Source organism: Homo sapiens, chromosome 1 (assembly GCF_000001405.40).
Source record: "Homo sapiens chromosome 1, GRCh38.p14 Primary Assembly".
Lineage (NCBI taxonomy): Eukaryota > Metazoa > Chordata > Mammalia > Primates > Hominidae > Homo > Homo sapiens.
Window position 1 is genome coordinate 45867432 of NC_000001.11, and position 26787 is coordinate 45894218.

Below are 26787 nucleotides of genomic sequence, written 5' to 3' on the forward strand. Positions count from 1 at the left end.
GAATAGTAAATAGGGCATTTAGAAGTTCCGTGACAGCAAAGACCTTGTCTATTTTGTTCAAATTACAGTTCTGCCATGTTCTAGTCATATAACCACAGCCAAATTTCATTTCATTTCTGTACTCCACTGGTATATTGAGAGTAGACAGTGGAGGCAAGGGCTGCAGCAAAAAGACCAATTATGAGACTGTTGTGGTCAAAAAAAGCAAGAAATAATAACAGATTGGAGGGGTGATAGCAGTGGACGATGTGGAGGACTTTCTTATTGGCCATTTTTACAGATACGTGAAGCTCAGTAGCTTCCTCAAGGACAGACAAGTAGGTGTATGGCCAGGCTAGATGTATAGGTTAGGGTACTCTGAACTACAAGTAACAGAAATTTTGACTCTGAGTGGTTTAAATGTTAGGTAAATGTATTGACTCACAACAATGAAGTCCAGAGGTTGGATGGGTTTCAGAGTTGGGTAGTCTGGTGTATTTGCTCAGCTTCATTGCTCTTTTGCCTTCCTCTGTGTTTTGGCCTCATTCTCAAGCTTGCTTCCTATGTGTTAGAAAAAGAACTGTAGCAGTTTCAGTCTGCACAGTCACACACTACAACATCCCTACATCTTAATGGTAAAAGGACATCTGGGAGATTATGTGTGAGCATCTTTTCTTTACACTGGAGGAGCCTCTGTCGGTGTAGGAATTGACACTGTTTTGCTTGAAAAGCTGTTCAAGTTGGGTCTTTTTTGTGGTAAAAATTGGCTTTCATCTTACATCTACTTTTGAAGCATCTACACATGGAGAGACATTTGAGATTGAAGTTCCTTGTGAATTGAAGGAGGTGCTTTTATACTTGCCCTGTTTCCCAATCAACTTTATGGGGGATGATTTTAACTTTGAAAGGTCAGGGACTAGCCACCATAAGCAAATTTTTGTTATCAACTCTCTTAGTGCCATAATTTCCACATTATTTGCCCATAAGGCACATATAGTAATCTGTCTTCATTGTATAGACAGTGCAATTTCCCAGGTTCTGAATTGAAAATATTTGTTGTGCTGATAAAATTATTGCCTTCAGGCAAAAACTAAATTGTATAGTATTTTTATGCACCCCCCCCAACCCCCTGCTTGCTTTTTGCCTTTGCTGTTCAAAAACGAGAGTACTTAGAGTGTCATTGTTTACGGGTACTTAATTATTTTGGAGGATATATGACAACATAATGCATACTGGGAAGCATTATTATTGAGAAAGCCTTGGGACTTTTTTTATTTTGCAAATTATGACTGTCATAAATTATGGTCATCTTACAAAATGTGATTCAGCTAATTTTTAGTCTTTAAAAACAAAATCTTCAAGAACCAGGTAGATTTCAAACATTCAATTTCTTCTTGAAATTTCATTTTAAAAAGGCTGATGACATGGATAAAAATGTAACCTAATTATTTGCTTCTGTTGTTCTACATTTCCTTGTTCTTTTCTGTGGGAAGCTTGATAAAAGAAACATTTCAGTTTGTACTCTTCAGTTTTTAGTACCACTAAGATATTTTCATCAAGTCAGTAAATTAGATGGCTTTGAAGGTTAAGGAATTTATCTCACTCTTGTCCCTCTTCTTTGCCCTGACTCATGTATTCCTATTCTATGTTGCAGCTACACCAGTCTTGTACCTTTGTTTGTTTTTTTCATAGTCATTTTTTTCTGACATTCCCCCCATTCCTGAGTGGTTTTATCCTCCTTTTCTACCTATCAACCTTCTGATAATCCCCATGCAGTTAAAACCTGAGTACCTAATTTTCAAATATTATAGTCATTATGGGTAACTCCAGTATCTTTGTAGACAAGGATAATCAGTCCAGCCTCAGATCTTTAGAGTTCCTTGGCTATCTGGAGTCTGTGTTAACAATACATTCCTGTAGATGCCATGTATTCTGTAGAGGGAACTGTTTGATTCAGAAATCTTACAGTGATTTACAGTTACATCCCTTGATCACCTCTGAATTAAATTCTGGTGTTCTCTGTGTAAATCTAGATCACAAATTGGTGGTCTGGTGACTGTTTCCTGTAGATATATTTTATTTAGCCACCTTTGGAGATTTAAAGAAAAATCAACCAACATAGTCTCTATCAGTCCCCTTTTGTTTTATCCTCTGCTGCTTTATGTATTTACTGAATTTCATCTATTCTAAGGCTCACATCTTTTTACTTTATAACAGCTTTGAAATAGCGGTGTTACTCTTGATGGTGTGTTATACGTTAATTGGCCAGGCTTATTTTTGTTTTGCATTTTAAAAAATGTTTCTTACTGTTACAAAAAATAACAGTGTCTTTTGCAATTGATAGTTTTTCAGATTTGATAAAGTACAGTATATTACCTTACTGGCTTATTAAAGCATTTGAGTTTGCACCATTTGTTTCTCAATGTAAAGACCTCCACCTTTTTTTAGCTCTCTCCCTTTCCTTTTTCTAAAGTCTTGAAGATCTCTGTTCCTGTGATTCTTTTGTTTGTTTGTTTGTTTGTTTGTTTTTGAGACAGAGTTTTGCTCTTGTCACCCAGGCTGGAGTGCAATGGTGCAATCTTGGCTCACTGCAACCTCCGCCTCCTGGGTTCAAGCGATTCTCCAGCCTCAGCCTCCTGAGTAGTTGGGATCACAGGTTCCTGCCACCATGCCTGGCTAATTTTTGTAGTTTTAGTAGAGACAGGCTTTTGCCATGTTGGCCAGGCTAGTCTCGAATTCCTGACCTGAGGTGATCTGCCCACCTTGGCCTCCCAAAGTGCTGGGATTACAGGCATGAGCTACTGCGCCCAGCTTTTGATTCTTTGTATACCTGTTTGACATGCCTTTCTGTATCATCTGATATTGTTTTATTTTTTCTCAATTTATTTGAGGTATATAACATTTGTGAATTTTTTATTGTATAACCACATTCACATTTTGTTGGTAAACCCAACTCAGGAATAATGTATGATTCAGTTTTTTAAAATGCTCATGTATATAATGTAAGTTTCCTACTTTTCATCTTGAGGTAGTTTTGGTAAGGTATATGTTTTTAAGAGTTTGTCCATTTTGTTTATTTTGTTATTTATTGAGATCAATTTGTTTATATATATATATATATAAAATTTTTGTTCTTTTAAACCTTTGCTGATTTGTTCTTCTGTTTCTCTTTGTATTTCTAATATTGGGTATTAAGACTCTTTTTTTTCATTATCAAGTATCAGTGGAATGCCGAGTACAGTGGCTCATGCCTATAATCCCAGCACTTTGAGAGTGCCAGGTGGGTGAATCACTTGAGCCCAGGAGCTGGAGACCAGCTTGGGCAACATGGTGAGATGTCTGTACAAATTAAAAAAAAAAAAAATTTAAGTAGCCAGGCGTGGCGGTGCACACCTGTAGTTCCAGCTATTTGGGAAGCTAAAGTGGGAGGATCGTTTGAGCCTAGGAGGTCGATGCTGCCGTGAGCCATGATTGTGCCCCTGTACTCCAGCCTGGGTGACAGCAAGACCGTGTCTCAAAAAAAATTAAAATAACAACAACAAAAATTCATGGAAGATTTTTTTTGTTGTTGTTAGTTTTTCCAGAAACCAACTATCCCTTTATTTCAGCCTTTTCATATCAGTTTGCTTTTGGTATATCTCTTGCAAATGGCATACAGTAGGTTTTCTTTAAAAAAAAAAAAAAAAAGTCCTGTTTGTAATGAAAAGTTTGTCTGTGTACATTTATTATGATTAATGATATATTTGGACTTGTTTGTGCCATATTATTTTTTGTATTCCATATCCTACATCTCTATGCCTTACTGTCCCCTTTTTTTTTTACCCTTTAAAAATATTGGTAGAGTTTTTTTTCTTATTTTCTTTTTCTATTTCTACTGGTGTGTTAGAACAAATTCAAACTTTAACCCCCTCCTGAACACTACAAGCACTCCATGTCTCTTATTACCTCCCCCAAACTTATTTGGCCATGTAATCAAACTGAACTGAAACAGGCCAGTTTAAAAAACAACAACAAAACCATGAAATTCACTGTAACCAGAGGTGACCCAGTTTACCTGAGCTAGCATGATAAGAAAGTTCTGTTTTAACTCTATAAGGAGAGTCACTTTGTAATGAATAATCTGCTTTTTGTTCCCTGTTTGTGCTTTCTTAACCCATTTTCTGCTTAGAAAGCCAGCCCCCTCTGCTTAGCTCAGCAGAACACGCATTCTATTTTTAAGAATGAGATGTTACAGAATTGCAAACAAAAGTCAGTTTGATCTTTAAACTGAAAGTCAGTTTGATCTTTAAACTAAATCTGTTGTAATTTTGTCCTTTGACAATGGTATTGTCATCAGCAGTGGATTCTGAGTAGGCCCTAGAATGTTCACCACTCCTACCCTAAGCCCAAGCAGTGTTATTTATGTTAGTTACATTATGTGGGTTTAATTATGAGTTATATCAAGAGACATATAATATTTTAGTGGCAGAGAATACCTTTTTTTCATCATTGATTTGTTTGTTTTTCTTGAGTTCTCACTATGTTACCTAGGCTGGTCTCAAACTCTGGGCTCAAGTGATCCTCCCACCGTGGCCTCCCAAAGTGTTGGGATTACAGGCGTGAGCCACAGCACCTTGCCTCGTTGATTTTAAATGTTAGTTGAAAAGTTATTGTCTCCAAAACCCAATTCTCTATCCACTTCCAATGGAGTGGATTATTGGGTTATGTTTCTTAGAGTCTGTTAATTTCCTTCTCTGGAAAGAGTGCTGCTACTGCAGTAGGGATCAATATACGTATAGTGTGAGAATTCAATAGCAAATGAGCCAGGCTGAGTCCCAGGGAGGGAGTTGCCTCAGGCATAGACAGCTTTGACCCATAGTCATCTCCACGCTGGTGACTGTTGACATAAAGGACAAGGACCAGCCTTGTGACTCCTGGCTTGCATATTTACTTGTGGGGGTAGCGGTTACTGCCTTTGGACACTTGGCCTTTGTCTTTTCTTTGGAAATATTTTATGGCTTTAGTCATTGTGAATAATGAGTAGTGCATATAGGCAGTGAATCCTCATCTGTGGGAATAGCACCATTTCGTGGTTTTTTTTTTTTTTTGAGACGGAGTTTTGCTCTTGCTTCCCAGGCTGGAGTGCAATGGGGCAATCTCGGCTCACCGCAACCTCCACTTGCTGGGTTCAAGAGATTCTCCTGCCTCAGCCTCCTGAGTAGCTGTGATTACAGGCATGCGCTACCACGCCCTGCTAATTTTCTTATTTTTAGAAGAGACGGGGTTTCTCCATGTTGGTCAGGCTGGTCTCAAACTCCCGACCTCAGGTGGTCCACCAGCCTCGGCCTCCCAAAGTGCTTGGATTACAGGCGTGAGCCACCACGCCTGGCCATGAATAGCACCATTTCATGTTTTATTTAATACCTTTAGAAGTTTGCTTTGTGGACAATGAAAGAGAGTGACTGGTTATTTCTCTAGGATTTAGTATGTATAACTTTCTTTGTAACTTCAGAATATAGTTTAATATCTTTTATTTTGTTCAATATAGTCAAACATTACTTAAAGTTCTTTGGGAAATATCATCATTGGCAGAAAGTATCAAAGTGTATCAATTTGAGGGTCCAAATGGTAATAAAATTTTGGAGACTGTTAAAACAATATACCTTGAATATTTGGGGTGGAGTGATAGGGATGGAGTATTGGGGGTGGGGTTAGTTTTTAGAGAATAGCATCTTATCACTTAGCTTTAGAGCTTCGCTACTGGTGGGTTAGATTAGAAAAATGCAGTTTCTTCTTCCTATTTTTTTTTTTTTCTCTTTTTTGAGACAGGGTCTTGCTCTGTCACCCAGGCTGGAGTCCAGTAGCATGATCTTGGCTCACTGCAACCTTCACCTCTGGTCTCAAGCGATCCTCCCACCTCGGTCCCCTGAATAGTTGGGACTACAGGCGTGCACCACCACTCCTGGCTAATTTTTTTTGAGCTTTATTATTAGAGACGAGGTCTCACTGTGTTGCTCAGGCTGGTCTTGAACTCCTGAGCTCAAGGGATCCTCCTGCCTCAGCCTCCCAAAGTGCTGGGATTACAGGTGTGAGCCACCACACCTGGTCAATTTCTTATTATTAATCCAAAGTGTCTTACTTTAAACTTTTAAGTTTATTTTAAAAATTCAAGCCTAGGAATAACTTTTGTGAGAAAGGCAGAGTAGGTATTTTTATCTCAGGTGAACAGGTAAGAATAATGAGGTTTAGAAAGGTTTAATGACTGACCAAGATTTTATAAGGAAGTAAGTAGCAGAATTGCATTCACATATTTTTCTGAGTCCTAGTTTCTTTATACCATGTAGAAATATCCTGTTAATATCATCAAGCTGTTCATCAAACTCAAATGAGAATAACACATTATTTATAGAATAAAGGTTTTTGTTTGTTTGTTTTTGTTTTTTCTTCTTGAGACAGAATCTCTCTCTGTTGCCCAGGCTGGAGTGCAGTGGTGTGATCTTGGCTTACTGCAGCCTCTGCCTCCCAAGCTCAAGTGATCTTCCCACCTCAGCCCCCTGAGTAGCTGGGACTGCTGGCACATGCCAATATGCCCAGCTATTTTTTGTAGTTTTTGTAGAGATGGGGTTTCACCATGTTGCCCAGTCTGGTCTCGAACTCCTGAGCTCAAGCAATCCTCTCGCCTCGGCATCCCAAAGTGCTGGGATTACAGGTGTGAGCCACTGTGACTGGTCTAAAGTATTTTCATGTACGTTACTTTATTTGACTTTTACAACTGCTGTATCTAAGCCTTTGAGGTAGATGGAATCCCAGGTCACACAGTTACATGTTTTTGAGCCACGACAGAAGCCTAGTTTTCCAAACTTTAAATTTTGTGTTCTTGACCAGGCATGGTGGCTCACGCCTATAATCCCAGCGCTTTGGGAGGCGGAGGCAAGTGGATCACGAGGTCAGGAGATAATGTTCCTTTTAAGACTAGATAGTAAATGATATTAACATAGATTTTCTTCCTCGGTAATATTTTTCTCTTCTTAAAGCATTCCGACTCTCCATGGAGTAACTACCAGCCAGGAGACTGTCAGTAAATAATATGTGATAATAGAGCATATTCTTCCCCTAGTAAAGCTTCTTGCTGAAATTATTGCAATTGATAGTTTTCATCAATGCAACTCCAAACTGGTAGGCAGGACCCTATTGTCTTATAATTGCCTTATAATGATGATAACAATAATAGTATGAACCATTTACTTACTTGATGGATTCATAGATTTATTCATCCAGTATTCATTTGTTGCCTACTAGGCTAGGTATTCTGCTGGGTGCCAGGAATGTCCTTGAGAGCAAGACTAATTCCTACTCTCCTGGAGCTAACAGTCAAAGAAAACAGATAATTTAGCAAATAATTATAGTAACCAGTGAAGTAGGTATGATTGAGGAATTAAAGGAATATTTGGATAATATATGGAAGGAGGCTGGGGAAACTGTAGAAAAACTTGCCAGAGGAAACGAAGTTTAAGCTGAAGTCCAGGAATGTATAAAAAGAGATAAAGAAAAGTAATCCAGACCAGGAGAACAGTAAGTGTGAAGACCTGAAGGTGAAAGAAAGCATGGCAAGTCTGAGTCCAAAACTCCAATAAGACTGGAGAATTATGCAAATGATACTGAGGAGGGAGGCAGTCAGAGCCAAGTAGTGCCCTGTAGACTACAGAAAGGATTTTAGACTTTATCCATTGCAGAATTATAAGAGAGAAAGGACACATTTAAAAAAGTTATTTTTGGCCGGGCACGGTGGCTCACGCCTGTAATCCCAGCACTTTGGGCGACCGAGGTAGGTGGATCACCTGGGGTCAGGAGTTCGAGACCAGCCTTACCAACATGGGGAAACCCTGTCTCTACTAAAAATACAAAAATTAGCCGGACGTGGTGGCGCATGCCTGTAATCCCAGCTACTTGGGAGGCTGAGGCAGGAGAATCGCTTGAACCTGGGAGACGGAGGTTGCAGTGAGCCAAGATCGCGCCACTGCACTCCAGCCTGGGTGACAGAACGAGACTTCATCTCAAAAAAATAAAAAGTTATTTTTGACTTCAGTATTTATTTCATTATACCCACAGTTATCACTCAGAAAACAGGTACTATATATGATATTTACATTGATATAACATTAATCAAGGGGGACAAAACTGAATGAAAGGGAGACCAATTAGGAGGATGTTATAGGATGATGGTGGCTTGTGCCCGGGGAAGTAGAAGTGAATTGACAGATTAAAGATAGATATTTTGGAAGTAGAATTGGCCGAGCTTGATGAATAATGGATGTAGAGAGTGAGAGAAAGTGAAAAATGAAGAATGACCCTGGGTTTGGTGGTACCATCATCAAAATAGAGAACAGAGAAGGAGCGAGACTGAGTAGAAAGATCAGCTGAGTTTTAGACATATTAAGGACAAGGTAGTTGTATGTACAACTATAGAGGTCAGCAAAAAGATCTGGGATAGAGATACAAATTTGAGATTGTAAAATATATAGAGAAAGGAGAGTGTACAAGCAGAACTAAAAGGACAGTCCCCATTTAAGGGTCTAAGGTGATGAAGGATGAGCCTGCAAAGATGTTTAAATGGTGTGTTTGCGGGGATAAGAGGAAAAACAAGAGAATGTGGCTTCATGGCAAGAAAAGTCTTCCAGGACAGAAGAGTGAATGATACTATCAGGTGCTGTTGAGCAGTGGAGCCAAAAAAGATAGGTGGACTAAAAATGCAGTGAAGCTTCATTACCCTGGCGTTATACATTACATTGGCAGTGTGCCAAGAATGGTTTAAATGGGCTGGTAAGGTCTAGGGATATTTATAGAGTGTTGAAGAATGAGTAGGAAGTGAGAAATTAGAGACATTGGATGTAGATAACTCATTCAAGAAGTGTGGTTGTGAAGGGAAATAAAATTGATAAGGCAGTATTTGAAGAGGGATGTGTAGTTATTAAGGGAATTTATTTCCTTATCTGAAGCTGGAATAGACTTGAATGTGTTCAGAATGCTAATCAGGAAGATCATTAAGAACATGAAGAGTCAAGAGATAATGAGTAGATCAGAGAAGGCTGAATGGAATGGGCTTCACCTGATATTGTAATGTATTACCAGGTATTACCAGCCTAGTTGCTGGAAGGTTATGAGTAAAATAATTTATGGTTATCTGTCTAAATGGGAGTACTCTTGCCTCAGCCAAGTTTCCTGATTGTGTAGCTTTTCTCCCCAACTTGCTGTGAATATTCCCTGGGAAAAGGAGGATTGAGAAATCATTGCTCCTTGGACTACCTTTATGTGGTTGGGCCCTTCTTGTTCCACTGTGCCTTAGTTGTCACAGAATGTACTGATCTGGAGTCCTGGGCATCAAATGCAGGCTTTTGTATAGGTGTAAGGAAGTCGGAAGGGATGGATTTCCACGGATGCGCTTCCGTGCCTCTAAAGGAATGCAGAGAGGGGCATATATGCATTTTAGGAAATTTTATTATTGTTAGCCAAAACTGTAGTCTACCATATTACCCATTTAAACTATTCAAGAAGTCAGAACTGTCATGTAGATTCAAAGAACAAATATTTCCAGTTTTATATAGATTGTTTCAGAAAGTAGAAAAAGAGGATATATTACCTTAGCACATTTTATGAGTGTCTTCGTCTGTTCGTGCTGCTATAAAAAAATACCACAGATTGGATCATTTATAAAGAACAGACATTTATTTTCTCACAGTCCTGGAGTCTGAGAAGTCCAAGATCAAGGTGTTGGCATTTGTGTGGTGAGTGCCTTCTTGCTGTTTCTTCACATGGTGGAGGATGGAAAGGCAAAAAGGGCTGAAAGCTGTATGAAGCCTCTTTTTTTTCTTTTAATTTTGATTTTTTTGAGATGGGGTCTTGCTCTGTTGGCCAAGCTGACCTCAGACTCCTGGGCTTAAGGGATTCTCCTGCCTCAATCTCCTGAGTAGCTGGGACTACAGGTGCACATCACCATGCCTGGCTTAAAGCCTTATGAAGGCCTTAATCCCGTTTACAAGAGAGAAGGCCTCATGACCTAATCACCTCCTACAGGCCCCACCTCGTAATACTATCACATTGGATTTTAAAGTCCAATGTGAATTTTGGACGAGACACAAACATTGAAACCTTAGCAGTGAGGATAGTATAAGTATGAAGTCAAAATTGGACAAGAACAATTTGAGACGAGAAAGTATATAGGCCAGTCTTACTTATTAACATACAGGCAAATATCCTAAATAAAAGTTTCTAGGCCTAGATACTTTTATTAGTGAAAGCTGTTAATATTTAAGGAAGAAATAACACCAGTCTTACATAATTTCTTTCAGAAAATAGAGGAGTAAGGAACAGTTCCCAGTCAGTTTTAGGAGACCGGCATAATTGTGATATAAAAATCTGACAAAGAAATTATAAGAAAATTAGAGATTATTATCCCTTATGAAAATAGGTGCAAAAATCATTAAAAAGATATTAGCTAATAGAATCTAGCAATGTATTTGATAAAATTGAAGTTAGGTTGGGCACGGTGGCTCACGCCTGTAATCCCAGCACTTTGAGAGACCAAGGCGGGTGGATCACCTGAGGTCAGGAGTTTGAGACCAGCCTGGCTAACATGGTGAAACCCCGTCGCTACTAAAAATACAAAAATTAGCCAGGCATGGTGGCACATGCTTGTAAACCCAGTTACTTGGGAGGCTGAGGCAGGAAAATCACTTGAACCTGGGAGGCAGAGGGTGCAGTGAGCAGAGATCACGCCACTGCATTCCAGTCTGGGTGATGGAGCAAGGCTCTATCTCAAAAAAAAAAAAAAAAAAAAGTTGACTTTAACTCAGAAATGCAAAATTAGTTTAATCTTAGAAAATCAATCACTGTAATTTGCCACATTAACAGAAGAGAAAAACTATGTAAGCATTTCAGTAGATGCAGAGAAAGTATTTGACATAATCCATGCCCATTTGTGAGAAAGACTATGAACAAATTAGGAATAGAAGAGAACTTGATAAAAAGTTATCCATGAAAAACCTATAACTAACATAATATTAAATATTCAAAATGTTAAATGCTTTTCTTGTAAGATCAGATGAGAAGCAAGACGAGGATGTCTACCACTTCATTTAACATCTTATAGAAAATTCTAGAAAATGGAAAGAAGTAAAGCTCCCTATTATAGAAGATATGATTGTTTATATAGAAAAAATCTAAGGAATGTACAAAACATTTATGATTAATAATAATTTTACCAAAGTATAGGATACATGGTCAATATAAAAATTAATTGAATTTCTATAAACATGCAAGCAATTGGAAAATGAAATAAAAGTTTTTATTTATAATAGCTTTAAAAAATCTACTTAGGGATGAGCTTAATAAAAGGAGTGCAAGGTGTTTTTGTTAAAAACGATAAAACATTGCTTAGAGTAATTAAAGAACTCGGTAAATGGAGAAGTACTATGTTCATGTATTATAAGACTTGATATTTTGAGATATCACTTCTTTCCAAATTGATGTATAATCCCAGCAGGCTTTTTTTTTTTTGGTAAAAATTAATAATTGGATTCAAAAATTCAAATCGAAATGCAAGAATCTAGAATATCTAAAGCAATCTTGGAAAATAATAAAGTTAAAGGACTGTACAATCTGACTTTAGGACTAAATATAAAACCACAGAATCATGATAGTGTGGTGCTTGCATAGGGCAGAAAAATAGATCAGTAGGATGCAATAGAGAGCCCAGAAAGGTTAAAAAAAAAATTGTTAGGGAAAGGACAGTGTTTTCAATAAATGGTATTGAAATAAGTGGATATCCATATGAAAAAAAATGAACCTTAATTTCATCTCACATACTACCTCAAAATTAATTTTCACTCATCAAAAGGCTCTACTGGCCTGGCATGGTGGCTCACGCCTGTAATCCCAACACTTTGGGAGGTTGAGGCAGGTGGATCACCTGAGGTCAGGAGTTCTAGACCAACTTGACCAATATGGTGAAAACCCATCTCTACTAAGAATATAAAAATTAGCTGGGCATGGTGATGGGTGCCTGTAATCCCAGCTACTTGAGAGGCTGGGGCAGGAAAATCACTTGAACCCAGGAGGTGGAGGTTGCCGCACGCCGAGATTGCACCACTGCGCTCCAGCCTGGGTGACAGAGCGAGACTCCATCTCAAAAAAAAAAAAAAAAAAAGGCACCACCAATAACTTTAGTAGGCAAGCCACAGATTAGAACATATTTATAAAACACATATGACAAAGGACTTGTATTTAGAAGATTATGAAGAGCTCTTATAATTCAATAGTAAAAAGATAACTCAATTTTTAAAAAGGTAAAAAAATTTTAAGATACTTCACAAAGGAATATATATTGATGGTTAATAAGCACATGAAAAGATACTCAACATCGTTAGTCATCAGGAAAATGATTAAAGCCACAATGAGATACCCGTACACACCTAAATGGCTAAAATGTAAAATGACTAAAATATAAAAAGCTGATACCATGTATTGGCATGAATGTAGAGTAGTTCGAACTTTCTTATATTATTAATGTGAACATAACATGTATTAGCTAGGATGTGAAGCAGTTGAAACTCTCATACATTGTTAATGGGAATGTAGCATGGTATAATCACTTTAGAAAAAGGTCTGGTAGCTTCTTATAAATCTAAATATATATCTACCCTTTAACTGAGTAATTCTACACTTTTAGGGATTTACCCAAGAGAAGTGAAATATAGCTTGTCAAAAAACATGTTATAGGAATGTTAATAGCTGAAAAATGGAATTGGAGAAACGATAAATTAACTGGGGTATATTATTCATATTGCCATTGTTACCTGCAACAACATGGATAAATCTCACAAATACTATGCTGAGTTGAAGAAGCCTATGTAAAAAGGTTTATATTTGTATGGTTCCATTCATATGAAGTTTTGAGGAAGTAAAAGTAATCTGTGGTGACATAATGAGAATAATATTTGCTTGGGGTAGGAAGATAGTGGTTTGTTTGGGGATTTACGAAGAAAGGACATGGTGGAACTTTCTGGATTGATGGACATGTTCTATATTTTGATAGAGATTTAGGTTATCTGAGTATATGTACTTAACAGACTTATCAATTGGCATACGTAAGATTAAGTAATTTAAGATTTGTACAGTTGAATGTTTGTAAATTTACCTAGAAAAACACACAAAAGAATTGCAATCAAATACTGAATTTTAGCAAAAATAATTTTATAAAATAAGCGAATTTTACAAAAATAAGGCATATTAAACTTATTGTGAAAAGTAAACCGGCTGGGCGTGATGGCTGACACCTGTAATCTCAGCACTGTGGGAGACCAAGGTGGGAGGATCACTTGAGGTCAGGAGTTTGAGACCAGCCTGGCCAACATGGTGAACCCCTGTCTCTACTAAAAATACAAAAAAATTAGCTGGGCATGGTGGTGCATGCCTGTAATCCCAGCTGGAGGCTGAGGCAGTAGAATCGCTTGAACCCAGGAAGTGGAGGTTGCAGTGAACCGAGATCGGCCAGCCTGGGTGACAGCGTGAGACTCCATCTCAAAAAAAAAAAAAAAAGAAAAGAAAAAAGCAAATCTATAAAATGTTTAGAAGAAAATATAAGCACATATATTCATGACTGTGTATGAGGGATATATTTCTTACATGGACAGTTGTTTTGGAGAGCAATTTGGAATATCCAGTACTTTATGACTCAGTAGTTCAACATCCAAGAAACTTTTTCTACATGCGCACTAGGAAACAACTACAAGAATGTTTACAAGAGTATTGTTTTAATGGAGAAGAAAAAGATGGAAAGAAAATTAAATTTCCATTTACTAGAGAATAGATAAATAAATATTGGTATATTCATAGACTGGACCACTGTCTGAAGATCAGTGAACTAAAGTGAAATATATCCACATGGGTGAATCTCCCAGTTTTCATAATGTTGGCTGATGTCAACAGAGGAATACATATAATATAATACCATGTATATATAATTTTAAAACATGTAAAACAATACTACTAATTTTTTACAAATCCAAAAACACGTATTGAAAATATTTAAAAAATTAAGAATAGTTGTTAATTTAGGACTGGTGGGAGGTGGGACTTGATACACTTGGAAAGCAAGTCACAGGGGCCCCAGCTGTTATCGTAAAGGTTATTTCTTATGCCAGTGGTGTGTGAAGTCATCTCTTTGTTATATTATTAACTATACTACTTTATTTGTCTAAAATATTTTCTAGTTATCACCCACTGCCCCTAATCCTATTTCATTCCTTCTGTATGCTTGCCACTAATGCCCTTTACAATTCAGCAGCAGTTAATGGCTGGCCTAGAGTGCCTGTAATCTACACTGGGGAGATGGTTCCATCTAGTGGGAAAAATGTTGCATGTATTCTATGAGACATTCCTTTTAGGAAGGAAGGATAAAGAAGTAATAGTTTGCCTGAGTGCTTTTATTTCACAAAAATTTAAGAGACAGGCTGGGCATGGTGGCTCACACCTGTAATCCCAGTACTTTGGGAGGCCGAGGCGGGCGGATCACGAGGTCAGGAGATCGAGACCATCCTGGCTAACACGGTGAAACCCCGTCTCTACTAAAAAAAAAAAAAAAAAAAAAAAAAAAAAATTAGCCAGGCGTGGTGGCGGGTGCCTGTAGTCCCAGCTACTCAGGAGGCTGAGACAGGAGAAAGGCGTGAACCTGGGAGGTGGAGCTTGCAGTGAGCCAAGATTGCGCCACTGCACTCCAGCCTGGGAGACAAAATGAGACTCCGTCTCAAAAAAAAAAAAAAATAAATAAAATTTAAGAGGCAAAGAAAAAGTTGTTATTTAGAAATATGTGGCCTTTTCCATTATTAAGATAATGCTGTGAATTTCCTAGGACATTTAGGTAGACCAACAGGACTCAGATGGGTTCTTATTTCTAACTTGCATATGTTTTGTTTTTCAGAAGGAGTTGAGCCTTCCAAGAAGAGGCAGCTTGTAAGTAGATGATTATTACCATTATGATTATGATCTCCTACTTAGGAACCCCTCTTGGGAACATTTCCCACTATCATGTGGAGGAATCCCGCTCAGTACACAATTTCTTTCTGTGTACTCCTATCTGAGCTAGGGAAGCCAGCAGGCCAACTGACTTCTCCCACTAGGTCAGATCTTCCCCTCCTCCCCATTCCTCCCGACCTCCAAACCTCTTCCCTCTCAGTTTCTACATAGCATTCTGGGAAAGTTACAACTTAAATATTCATCACAGTCTTATACTTGTGCTTTGGGATTTACTGAGTTTTCGTAGACTCAAGCTAAGGAAGTAGGAATATTAAAATGGAAACCCTTTGCATTTACATCTATCCGGTAACATGGTATGAGGAGAAGACCAACTTTTCTGATAAGTTGAGGCAAGGCCAGCTAAGTTTGGAGACTATGTTGAATGGAATAGGTTCCCAACCTGTTTGGTTTTTTTCTGGCTTCAGGGTTAGGGGAGATTAATAAATAGTCTTTGCCCCTGGATTTTAATTTCTTAAATTCTCTTGGACTGCTTTTCCTCTAGGAATTCTGTTGGGGCAGTATTAGAAATTTGGCCAATCAGAATCTCCTGGAATGTTTGTTAAAGTGCAGAGTGTGAACTTAATGCATTAAAATCTCTGTGTTGGGGCCCAAAAACCTGTACTGTATATACCTAAAACATACTCATATTTACCATGATTTACTAGTAAAGTCACATCTGGGGAACCCTAAGGAAATAGAGCTGTGATAAAACAATGGCTTTTAAACTTTTCCTTAACAAAAAAAGAGATGTAATTAAGGAGGAGATCACAACAGCATTCATATTTATTAAGTATACTTTATATACACATCATATGCAATTTTTAAATGTTTAAATGAAACATGTAGTAATTCTTTCTGTTACTGTCCATTTTAGGATTTTGTTTTGTGAAAAATGCTCTAGTGATTAAATTTTCCTCTGAGGTTTTTGTGAAGCCTTTTGGGCTGTTTACGAAAACTTATTTTGGTTTGATATGAAGAGGCTTGAGTCAGAAAACTCATAAGGTTCAGTCTTGACCATGCCATTTAACTAGCTTTGTAAACCTAGACAAATCACTTTATCTTCTTAAACCTCAGTTGCCTTATCTATAAAATGAAGATAATGTTACCTGTGTTTTCTTCTTACTAAGCCTGTTAGAAGGATCACTTAATATATGTATAGTGCTTTATTACTTATAGTTTAATTTTAATATATATTAGTTTTAGAATTCTTAATGGGTTAAATTTGGATGAATTCTATTATTTAAGAGGCACATTTTAAATTTTAAATTCAGTTTCTAGCAGTGGATATTCAGTCTAGCTTCACAAGTGTCCTGAGTCTTCTGTAAATGGCAAGGGCTCTACCAGGACTCTTAGAGGAATGAGACACCAAATAGGTATGCATAACTGAAAAGGAGTAGCTTTTCAGCATCATAGTCAGGAAATATTTGTACTTGGTCATTTTTCTACTATTTCTGCCCCCCCCGCTTTTTTTTGGTTGCTTCTATTTGAAAACTGCCTGAGATTTGCCTTTTCTTAGTATTAAGTGAAATAAATTAAGGCCTGAGACAGGTAGCTTCTTGCAGAAATGTGTGTCCTCAATGAATGGAGTTGCTGGGAAGAAGGAGAAGGAGGAGTATTCTTATTTTTATTTTATACCAGAATAATTTTTTGGTCATTTTAGTGATATCTAAAGTTAGGCCTACTCTAACTGCCTTAAAAACGTTTAATTAATAAGGATCAGAAATAGATTTTCCCTCCTCTTTTTTGATAAAGTAACTCACATTTAAACAATTGATCACTCAGTAAATACACAGTAATATCTACTCTGGGTCAGGTGCGGTGGCTCACACCTATAGTCCCAGCACTTTGGGAGGCTGAGGTAGGTGGATCACCTGAGGTCAGTAGTTCGAGACCAGCCTGACCAATATGGTAAAACCCTGTCTCTACTAAAAATAAAAATAAAAATTAGCCGGGCGTCATGGCGTGCGCCTGTAGTCCCAGTTACTCAGGGGGCTGAGACAGGAGAATTGCTTGAATCCAGGAGACGGAGGTTGCAGTGAGCTGAGATCATGCCACTGCACTCCAGCCTGGGCGACAGAGTGATGCGCCGTCAAAAAATAAATAAATAAATAAATAAAAAAGCCTACTCTGTGCTGGGTAGAGTGATCTAAGTTCTGAGGCTGTTAAGATTCAATTAGATAAATTCTTCTCTTTTGAAGAGCTTACACTTAAGTAAGCCAGAAGTTCTTCAGTTCTTTAATATAAACAATATCCTTTCTTATCTTTAACATTAGAGGAGTCGAAAAAGTTTTGTTCTGGAAGGAAGCAAGGAAACATGGGTACTAATATAGGCTTTGCCACTAACAAATTATGTGTGGCTTTAAAACAGGAGCTCCCACTTCTGGACCTGAATTGCCATACTTGTAAAATGAAGGGATTGGCTACCTGATCTCTATGCTTAGTCATCTCCCCAAACAGTTAAAGTTCCATGGTACCTCTTGTACACAGAGCTGGGCAAGTCTTTGTAGGGAGTGTGCAGTAGGAGGCAAAGTACTGCTTAGCATTTGTAGTAAAGAAAACAGGTAAGAACCACAAAACAAATATTTGAATAAGTTTAATTACTACAAAATTTGTTGTGTGGAAAAACTGATGTTAATAAAATGAGTGACTTACCATTTGCTCCACTGTTTCTCGTCCTCATAGCCTGATCTGGAAAATTTTTAAAGTTTCTATAATTGTCATTTAAGTCTTGGTCAGAAGGAGGGGGCATCATATTTGTGTCCCTGTTTGCCTTTCTTAGAATGGTTCTCCCAAGAGCGAATCCTATGGTGTGCTCATTCCAGGTTATAAAGGCCCGTTTCCTCTGATATATCCTTCATGGACATAGAGAAATTTAGAATTTGCCTCTAGTTTGGTGTTCTTGTCCTTTGAGAGAGCGTTTTTGTTAATTAATTTTTGAGGCTTTCAATTGCTGTGCTTTTCACGTAATATGTTAGTTGCATTAAAATGGACAGGAACTCAAATATGAGTTTCTAGACTTATGTGACAACTTGGCATTATACAAAATACACATTCTTCCACTCAACAAGTAATTCCTCCAAAGTCTCCAAATTGGTAAGTGGAAGTATAGCATAAAAATTAACAGCTTGGGTTTGCAAGTCAGGCAGATGTGGGTTTCAGTCACGGCACTATTACTTACTAGATGTTTTTTGGTAAAATCAGTTACTATATTTTTGTCTTTTTGCCTCCATTCACTTTGTCATTTGCTCAAATCTTTCCATCCATGCATCCATCATACTATATTATTTTAGTTCCAGTTAGGTGTAGGCACTATTCTAGATACTGGAGATACAGTAGTGAATAAAGCAGACAAGGTCCCTGTGCTCATGGAGTTTCCATTCTACTTAAGAGAGACAAAAACATGTATGATATGCCATATGGTACTTACTGCTATGAAGAAAAATAAAGCCAGATATCAGAGAGGAGGATGTGTGTTTCTGTGGGGGTGAGGGTTTAAATTTTAAATTTTAAATTGAATTGTCTAGGCTGGGTGTGGTGGTTCACACCTGTAATCCGAGCACTTTGAGAGACTAAGGCAGGAGGATCGCTTGAGTTCAGGAGTTTGAGAACAGCCTGGGCAACATAGTGAGACCCTGTCTCTACAGAAAAATTTTAAAAATCAAAAAATTTTGTATTGTCCAGGAATTTTCTCATTAAGGCAACATTTGAGCAGAGAACAGGAGTCTGGAATGAGTGATACTGAGATAGAGATAGATCGATAAATATATATGTATATATTATATATATTTATATACTTATATAAGTATACATATATATTTATATATTGTATACATATTTATATATGTATCTATAAGTACACACACACACACACACACACACACACACACACATTTATAGTGACATTGGTCAGATTAGGGAAGAGAGCTGTTACATTCTAATACGCAAAATGCAAACATCATCTATGCCTGCCACGATAAGGGCTTTATTGGGGCAAGGTGGTTATGAAAGTTCTTTTGGCCTGGCTCATACCATTTATTTTAGATGTAGCTTCCTGAAACTAAATCATTTTCATTTTTAGAAAGCTATTTCATATTTAAACCCATCTGGGTATTTTTTTAATGCATTAAAAATGTAGTTTAGAATATCAGACCTAAGGGAGTTGATAACTTTGTTCAAAGTACAATATCTGTGAAAAGAAGATTTTGAAGTTCTAAAGTTACTTGTATCTGTTTACCCAGGCTAGAAGGGTTTTATATTTTACTTTTTCATAATTGAAGCAGCTCTGAATGGCTTTTCTTGCCCAATGCTATAGTGGGGGCCTCTTTTTGATGATTCCTTTCAAATAGGATTGTTTCTTTTGCTGTTGTTGTTATTTTGTTTGTTTTTGTGACAGGGTCTCATTCTTTAGCCTAGGCTGGAGTGCAGTGGCGCAGTCTCAGCTCACTGCAGCCTGGTCCTCCCTGGCCTCAGGAGATCTTCCCATCACAGCCTCCTGAGTAGCTGGCACCACAGGCACCTGCCACCACATCTGGCTAATTTTTGTATTTTTTGTAGAGATGGGGTTTCACTATGTTACTCAGGCTGGTCTGGAACTCCTGAGCTCAAGCTATCTGCCTACCTTGGCTTCCCAAAGTGCTTAGATTACAGGCATGAACCACAATGCCTGGCGACTGTTTATTTTGTTTGTGAATTTCAGCACCAGTACCTAGACCCTGCATTTGGGAGCTTAATGTAAATAATGCTTATGTCTCCAGTTACCCTGAAAGTAAAGCTTTTCTAATACCCATTAGGCTTAAGATAATTTTCCTCATATTTCATGAAATGTCTTGCTTTATTTCTTAGAGGCTATGAGCAGTCAATTGAGATAACAGACTGTAGGAGTGGAGAGGTAGCTGTTGGTTGCATTCATCATGGGGTATGTGTATATGTGTGTGTTGATATTATTGGCATTGCTGGCTTGTAGTCTTTAGAGCCCTTGGGGATAGTTAACCTTTTATTTTGTCAGCTTATTCATTTGGGCAGTGGACTTAGATACCAGATATTGGATGAAAGTTAATGTCTGGTGTCTGCAGTGATAGGCACTGCATAGTGGGCAGGGAGGAGTTCCTGGGCCCCAGGGATGTGATGTGTCAAACTTTGTTCCTATGAAACTGACAGTGTCATGTACTTTCCCATTCTGATGCAACTTGATGCCTGGATCAATGCTTCTGGAAAATGTGCTAAAAAGAGATACCACCTGCTGCATACACATAATAAACCCTTTGTTGAGGTATCAGTGGCGTCTGATATAGGGCTTTAGGTTTTCTGTGGGGCTTTGAAAATCAGGAAATTTTGCAATCTTTCAAGACTCTAAAGCCCAGAGTGATAGCTTTGTGTTACATTTAAGACCCTGTCTTTTAAAAGTTGGTGGGAAGTAATTTCATATAGATTCTCTAAGTGTCCAATGGGAAGGCAGGACGTAGCAGAGGTTGGGAGGGAAGTAGCCATAGTCATCACTCATATCCCTACAGGGAACCAGTTTGTTGTTAAAAAATGGATGTAGTTGTTGGCGAGCTTTACCTGTGTAGGTGGGATCTGAAAATCCTTGAGAACCTGTTTTTGTTACTGTATGTTGAGAATAGTTGTCATGCTCATTATCCCCACATTTATATCGCTAGATCTCATAACTGTCCATTCACCATAATGTGACTGAATATTTCAGAGACATCTGAACTGCAGCATTTATGAATCTGAGTCATTGTCTTTCTCAAAAATCAGGTCCTCTCTTATACTCTAGCTTATTAAATGGTACTGCTTCCTCAAGATAGAAAATTTAGTTATTTTTGTTGCCATGCTCTTCCTTACACTCACAAGTCTTTTCTGTTATACCTCTCAAATATCTCTTGGTGTTCTGTCTTTATTTTTATTTTATTTTATTTTTTTGAGACTGAGTCTCGCTCTGTGGTCCAAGCTGGAGTACAGTGGCGCCATCTGGGCTCACTGCAAGCTCCGCCTCCCGGGTTCACACCATTCTCCCACCTCAGCCTCCTGAGTAGCTGGGACTACAGGCCCCCACCACCACGCCCGGCTAATTTTTTGTGTTTTTAGTAGAGACCGGGTATCACTCTGTTAGCCAGTATGGTCTCGATCTGCTGAACTTGTGATCCACCCACCTCGGCCTCCCAAAGTGCTGGGATTACAGGCGTGAGCCACCGCGCGCGGCCTCTTTTTTTTTTTTTTTTTTTTTTTTTTTTTTTTTTTTGAGATGGAGTCTTGCTCTCTCGCCCAGGCTGGAGTGCAATGGCACAATCTCGCCTCACTGCAACCTCCGCCTCCCAGGTTCAAGTGATTCTTCCGCCTCAGCCTCCCCAGTAGCTGGTACTACAGATGTGTGCACCACGCCTGGCTAATTTTTTGTATTTTTAGTAGAGACGGGGTTTCACCACGTTAGCCAGGATGGTCTCAATCTGACCTCATCATCCATCCGCCTCGGCCTCCCAAGTGCTGGGATTACAGGCCTGAGCCACTGTGCCCGGCTGGTGTTCTCTCTTTCTTTATACTACCACTGGTTTGTCCAGATAGTCACAGCCATTGTAATCTCTTGCCTCTGCTACTGCCATAACCTCCTAACTGGCCTTTCTTTATCTGGCATTGCTCACCCTCAGTCTACCTAACTATCATACAATAGCCAGGAAAAGCTTTTTAAAATGCGGATTTCATTATTAGATATTAATTTAAACTTTTTTGGTGAAATTTTTTTTTTTTTGAAACAGAATCTCACTTTGTCACCCAGGTTGGAGTACAGTGGTGCGATCACGGCTCAGTGCAGCCCCAGCCTTCCTGGGCTCAGGTGGTACTCGCACCTCAGTCTCCCAAGTAGCTGGGACCACAGGTGCACGCCGCCACACCCAGCTAATTTTTGTACTTCTTGTAGAGGTGGGGTTTTGCCATGTTGCCCTGGCTGGTCTCAAACTCCTGGGCTAAAACTACCTGCCTTCCTCGGCCTTCCGAGGTGCTGAGATTACAGGTGTGAGCCTCTGCACCTGGCCTTTGGTGAATTTTTTCTTACTCTTAGGATCACACCTGACTATCTATACAGTGTGGTTGCTATATTTTTCTCCATGTTTTACACAATGTGTTCTCTGTGCCTGGAATTTTTGTTTTGTTTCGTTTTGTTTTGTTTTTTTGAGGCAGAATCTCACTCTGTTGCCAGGCTGGAGTACAGTGACGCAATCTTGGCTCACTGCAACCTCCACCTCCTGGGTTCAAGCAATTCTCTTGTCTCAGCCTCCTGAGTAGCTGGGACTACAGGTGCACGCCATGACACCCAGCTAATTTTTTTTTTTTATTTTTAGTAGAGCCAGGGTTTCACCACATTGGTCAGGCTGGTCTCGAACTCCCAACCTCAGGTGATTAAGCAATTCTCCTGCCTCAGCCTCCCAAGTAGCTGGGACTACAGGTGCGCTCCACCACGCTGAGCTAATTTTTATATTTTTAGGGTTTCACCATGTTGGCCATGATGGTCTCAATCTTTTGACCTCGTGATCCGCCTGCCTCGGCCTCCCAAAAGTGCTGGGATTACAGGCATGAGCCCCCGTGCCCAGCTGGAATGTTCTTTTTCCATCTATACCAATCTAGTTCCTACACACCTTTCAAGTCCCAGCTTACACCTCACTTCCTTATGAAAGGCGTTCCTGACCTCACCCAAACCTTGCTGTCTGTAGACTAAGTTGGGTTTCCCAGAACATACTTTCAATAAAGCCTCTACTTTTTCTTCATAGCTCTTACATCAGTTGTAAATAAAGAACTATTTGTCTGCCTTTTCCCGTTGTGTAGTATGTAAGTATTAGCTCAGGCTGCTGTAACAAAATACCACATGCTTAAATAACAAAAATTTATTTTCTTACAGTTATGCAAACTAGTAGTCCAAGAAGGTGACAACATGCTAAGTTTCTGGTAAACCTCTCTTCCTGGCTTGCAGAGAGTGGCCTTCTTGCTGTGTGCTCACATGGCCTTTATGTGGTACACCAGCCTGAGGATAGGGGCATAGATCTGTCTCTTCTTCTTTTTCTTCTTCCTTCTCCCTCCTTCCTTATTTTTTCCTTCATTTTCAAGCCCAACAGTCCTATAGGATTAGAGCCACCCCTATGACCTCATTTAACCTTAATTACTTCCTAAAGAACCTATATGGAAATATAGTCAGATTGGGGGTAAAAGCTTTAACATGAATTTTGGGGAGACACAGTTTAGTCCATAGCAGATGGTAAGCTCCGTGAGGTCAGGACCATGTTGTGCGGTACAATATGCTGATCCCAGAGCCTACTATAGAGTTTAACACAAATTGGCAATCATTTGAACTTGTTCCAAACATTGGTATGGTCTGGCACAAGAATACAAATAGAGGTATACACGTTTAATCATTTAAAATAGAGCTACCAAATTGTAAAATAAAATAAATGCTTTGTCCTCCTACCTCTAGAAATATAGTTGCATAATAACAAATTTTGAAATATGTGTAAAGCTATTGATTTTTAAAAAATAAGCACATGTTAAATATTTAACTCATTGTTAGTAAGGAAATCTGGCAGATATATTAGCCAGTTCAAAGAAGTAAAAGAACCACAAAGTGATATGTGGTATGTGTATGTGTAGTGTTGAAATAAATGTATTATTTATTATAAAATTGAGTTTTTCCATGGAGAGAAGGGAAGTCAGTTGCACCTTCACTGTACAGAATTGATCAGCATGTCTATAGACAAACATTATTTTGTGCACTGGATGTACTAGCTCACACCTGTAATCCCAGCACTTTGGGAGGCTGAGGCAGGAAGATCACTTGAGCCCAGGAGTTTGAGCCCAGCCTGGGCAATGTAGTGAGACCCTGTCTCTGCAAAAGTTTTTTTAAAAAAATTAGCCAGGTGTGGTGGTGACTGCCTGTAGTCCTAGCTACTTAGGGGGCTGAAGTGGGAAGGTTGAGCCTGCAGTGAGCCGTGATTGTGCCACTGTACTCCACCCTGGGTGACAGAGAGAGACCGTTTCAAAACAAAACAAAAAAAAGAAATTATTTCACATAACGTCAGTTACCTACCTATAACTTACAGAGTTGTAAAGTAGCTCAAAGACAATAAAAGACAAACTAGAAGAGTATTCTCTAAACAATATGCATAGTTTTTTATTGGAAATATCTAGTAACCTTTTTTTCTTTTTTAACTTTTTCCAATTTTTTTTTTTATAATCTCCTACCTTTTCATCTAAAATAATTTGAAACGTTTTTGTTCACAAAACAAGGGTGGTCTCATTGGGTTTGGCCTGATTATTTGCATAGTGTGGCCAGAATATTAATTTATCATAAAGCCTTCTTAAATTTACTTTGCTGTAAATTTTTATAAAGAATCTCAGATTGGACTTTTAAAGGCCTCTATTATTTGTATTTTGAGGCTAGGAAGGCAAGCCTAAGAAATACCACATTTCACTTGTAATAACTATAAATTTGGGTGAATTCCTAAGGGTCCTGGGCCTTCCAGGAAGTGGCCTTCCTTACCATCTGTAAGTCTGGACCCTGTAAAGCCAGATACCAGGCCAGTTTTCCCAGGAAGGTTTTGTAAGTATTGGCTCCATAAAGTCAACCATAGTTCCTTAAAAGTGGTTTGTTATACCTGATCAAATAAGCATGATTCTCAAATGTGACCTTTCAGGCAAGCTCTTTGTTGGACAACCATTTTTTACAATTATATTCTGGTCAAAAGGAGAACAGATTCTTGTTTAGCCCTATTCAAATAACCATATTGCCTTGAACTGTAAGGAGACTCAGTAAGACGTTCTTAGTTCTGGGTTAGGGGAGGGTCAGTGAGAATCAGATGTGATTTAGGAATGTTTCATTTTACAAGAGCAAAGTCTACTCAATTGTTAAGAGTTATAGATAGCCTAACAAGGAATACAACTGGCTCCCTTGCATATTAGAAAATGGACATTAAAATAATATTTCAAACAAATTACTATAATCATTTCTTATAGTTCATACCGTTCTGTGTACCTAATTCTCATTTCACTGGATCTTACGTTAGTAGTCGGCTTCTTAACTAAAAAAAGTTCTGGAAATTCTGACTCATTCCACTGGAATGATCTGGAAGTTGTCCAGTTGTCCAAGCAATGCTATTGGAAGCCTGTCTATTCTTTGATGTGTCAGTAGTTTTAAAATACCTGCCGCAGTCCTTTTCCGTGGAGCTCTGAGACAACCCTTCTTTGTTGAAGACACAGACTCTGGCTTCTAGCTGATTGTAGAGCCTTCAGACAGGCCTCAGCACAAAACAGAATCTCTCTGCATGTGACAGAGTCTCATATCATAAGAATAATGCAACTAACAAGGAAATTAAGTTGTTTTTGTCACATGTAAAATGAGAGTAATAAGGCCAGTCCAAAAACTTATAGCAAACTGTAAGAGATTATTGCAAATAAGACAGTGAAGGTTACATCTGATTTAGAAAACATAGATAAACATAATTTTTAGAGAGGGAAAAATCTTTATGTATAACTTATAATATTCTTGTGGTATTATACAGACACCAAAAACATACCAAGAATATACTAAGGACATCAAGTAAAGAGATTCAATGGGTCTGGAATAAGTCCTATACATCTATATTTTTATAAAACTCCAGTCCTATACATCTATATTTTTATAAAACTCCACTGACCTAGAAGGTGCTGGATTGAAATGTTAAAAGTAAGGTTGTTACCAAGTAAACATTTTCAGTTTTTATTATTTATTTATTTATTTATTTTAGACAAGGTCTTGCTCTGTTGCCCAGGCTGGAGTGCAGTGGCTCTGTCATAGCTCACGGCAGCCTCAACCTCCTGGGCTCAAGCGATCCTCCTGTTTCAGCTTCTCAGGTAGCTGGGACTGTAAGCATGCATCACCATGCCCAGCTTATTTATTTCATTTAATTTATTTTTTATTTTATTTTAATTTTTTGCAGGGGGCGGGGTAGAGATAGGGTCTTGTAATGTTCCCTAGGCTGGTCTCTAACTCCTGGGCTCAAGTGATCCTTCTGCCTCAGCCTCCCAAAACGTTGGGATTGCAGATGTGAGCCACCGCACCTGGCCAGTATTTTAGATAATAACTGAAATTAAGACTGAAAACACTTCTTCCTGTAGGATATTTTAAAAAAAAAAAAAAAGACTGAAAACACTAAACTTTTGTTTCCTAAAATCTGGCAGAGTTCTGTCAGGACTCAGAAACGTTATGGATAATGAGGACATTGACAAATCTCTAGGAGTTTTCTATTAATCATACAATAACTAGAATATTTATAGTAATAGCATTTTACCCATACAACTTTAACCTAGGGAACACTGAACATGTCTTCTGGTAGATAACTTTTCTCATGAAATTCATTAATAACAAAATATTAAACCTAATTATTTCTAACATTTCTCTAAAAAGGAGAAAACACGTCTTTGTGATTTTGCCAAGGATGTTTTGGGATATCTCAGAGATAGTTTTTGGTATTAAAAATACACTGACCCCAGCACTTTGTGAGGCCAAGGTGGGAGGATTGCTTGAGCTCAGGAGTTTGAGACCAGCCTAGGCAACATGTTGAAACCCTATTTCTACAAAAATATGTAAAAGTTAGCTGGACGTGGTAGCGCACACCTGTGGTCCCAGCTACTTGGGAGGCTGAGGTGGAAGGATTGCTTGAGCCTGGGAGGTGGAGGTTGCAGTGAACTGAGATCATGCCACTGCACTCTAGCCTGGGTGACAGTGAGACCCTGTCTCAAATT

General features: G+C 38.5%; 1 protein-coding gene and 1 long non-coding RNA gene across 29 annotated transcripts in view, besides 1 other annotated feature; one reads left to right on the top strand and one right to left on the bottom strand.

The window, feature by feature from the left end:
- MAST2 (microtubule associated serine/threonine kinase 2) overlaps window positions 1–26787 on the top strand; it is a 232511-nt gene that overhangs the window by 63820 nt on the left and 141904 nt on the right. For all 26 annotated transcript variants that reach the window (XM_011541059.3, XM_011541069.3, XM_011541061.3 and 23 more), the window contains one exon: window positions 14933–14964. In XM_011541059.3, coding sequence (XP_011539361.1) covers window positions 14933–14964 — 32 coding nt within the window. The remainder of the gene's footprint in view (window positions 1–14932; window positions 14965–26787) is intronic.
- Window positions 306–600: a silencer, noted in NCBI's record as "tiled region #10352; HepG2 Repressive DNase matched - State 5:Enh". NCBI's record gives its function as "represses a minimal TATA promoter and a strong SV40 promoter by Sharpr-MPRA in HepG2 cells {active_cell/tissue: HepG2}" and the evidence as "EXISTENCE:reporter gene assay evidence [ECO:0000049][PMID:27701403]".
- Window positions 453–26787, bottom strand: part of LOC105378694 (uncharacterized) — a 41351-nt gene continuing 15016 nt past the window's right edge. For all 3 annotated transcript variants that reach the window (XR_001738038.2, XR_001738037.3, XR_007066060.1), the window contains 3 exons: window positions 9262–9408; window positions 7208–7322; window positions 453–540 (listed from right to left, as the gene is read on the bottom strand). This is a non-coding gene — a long non-coding RNA (uncharacterized LOC105378694). The remainder of the gene's footprint in view (window positions 541–7207; window positions 7323–9261; window positions 9409–26787) is intronic.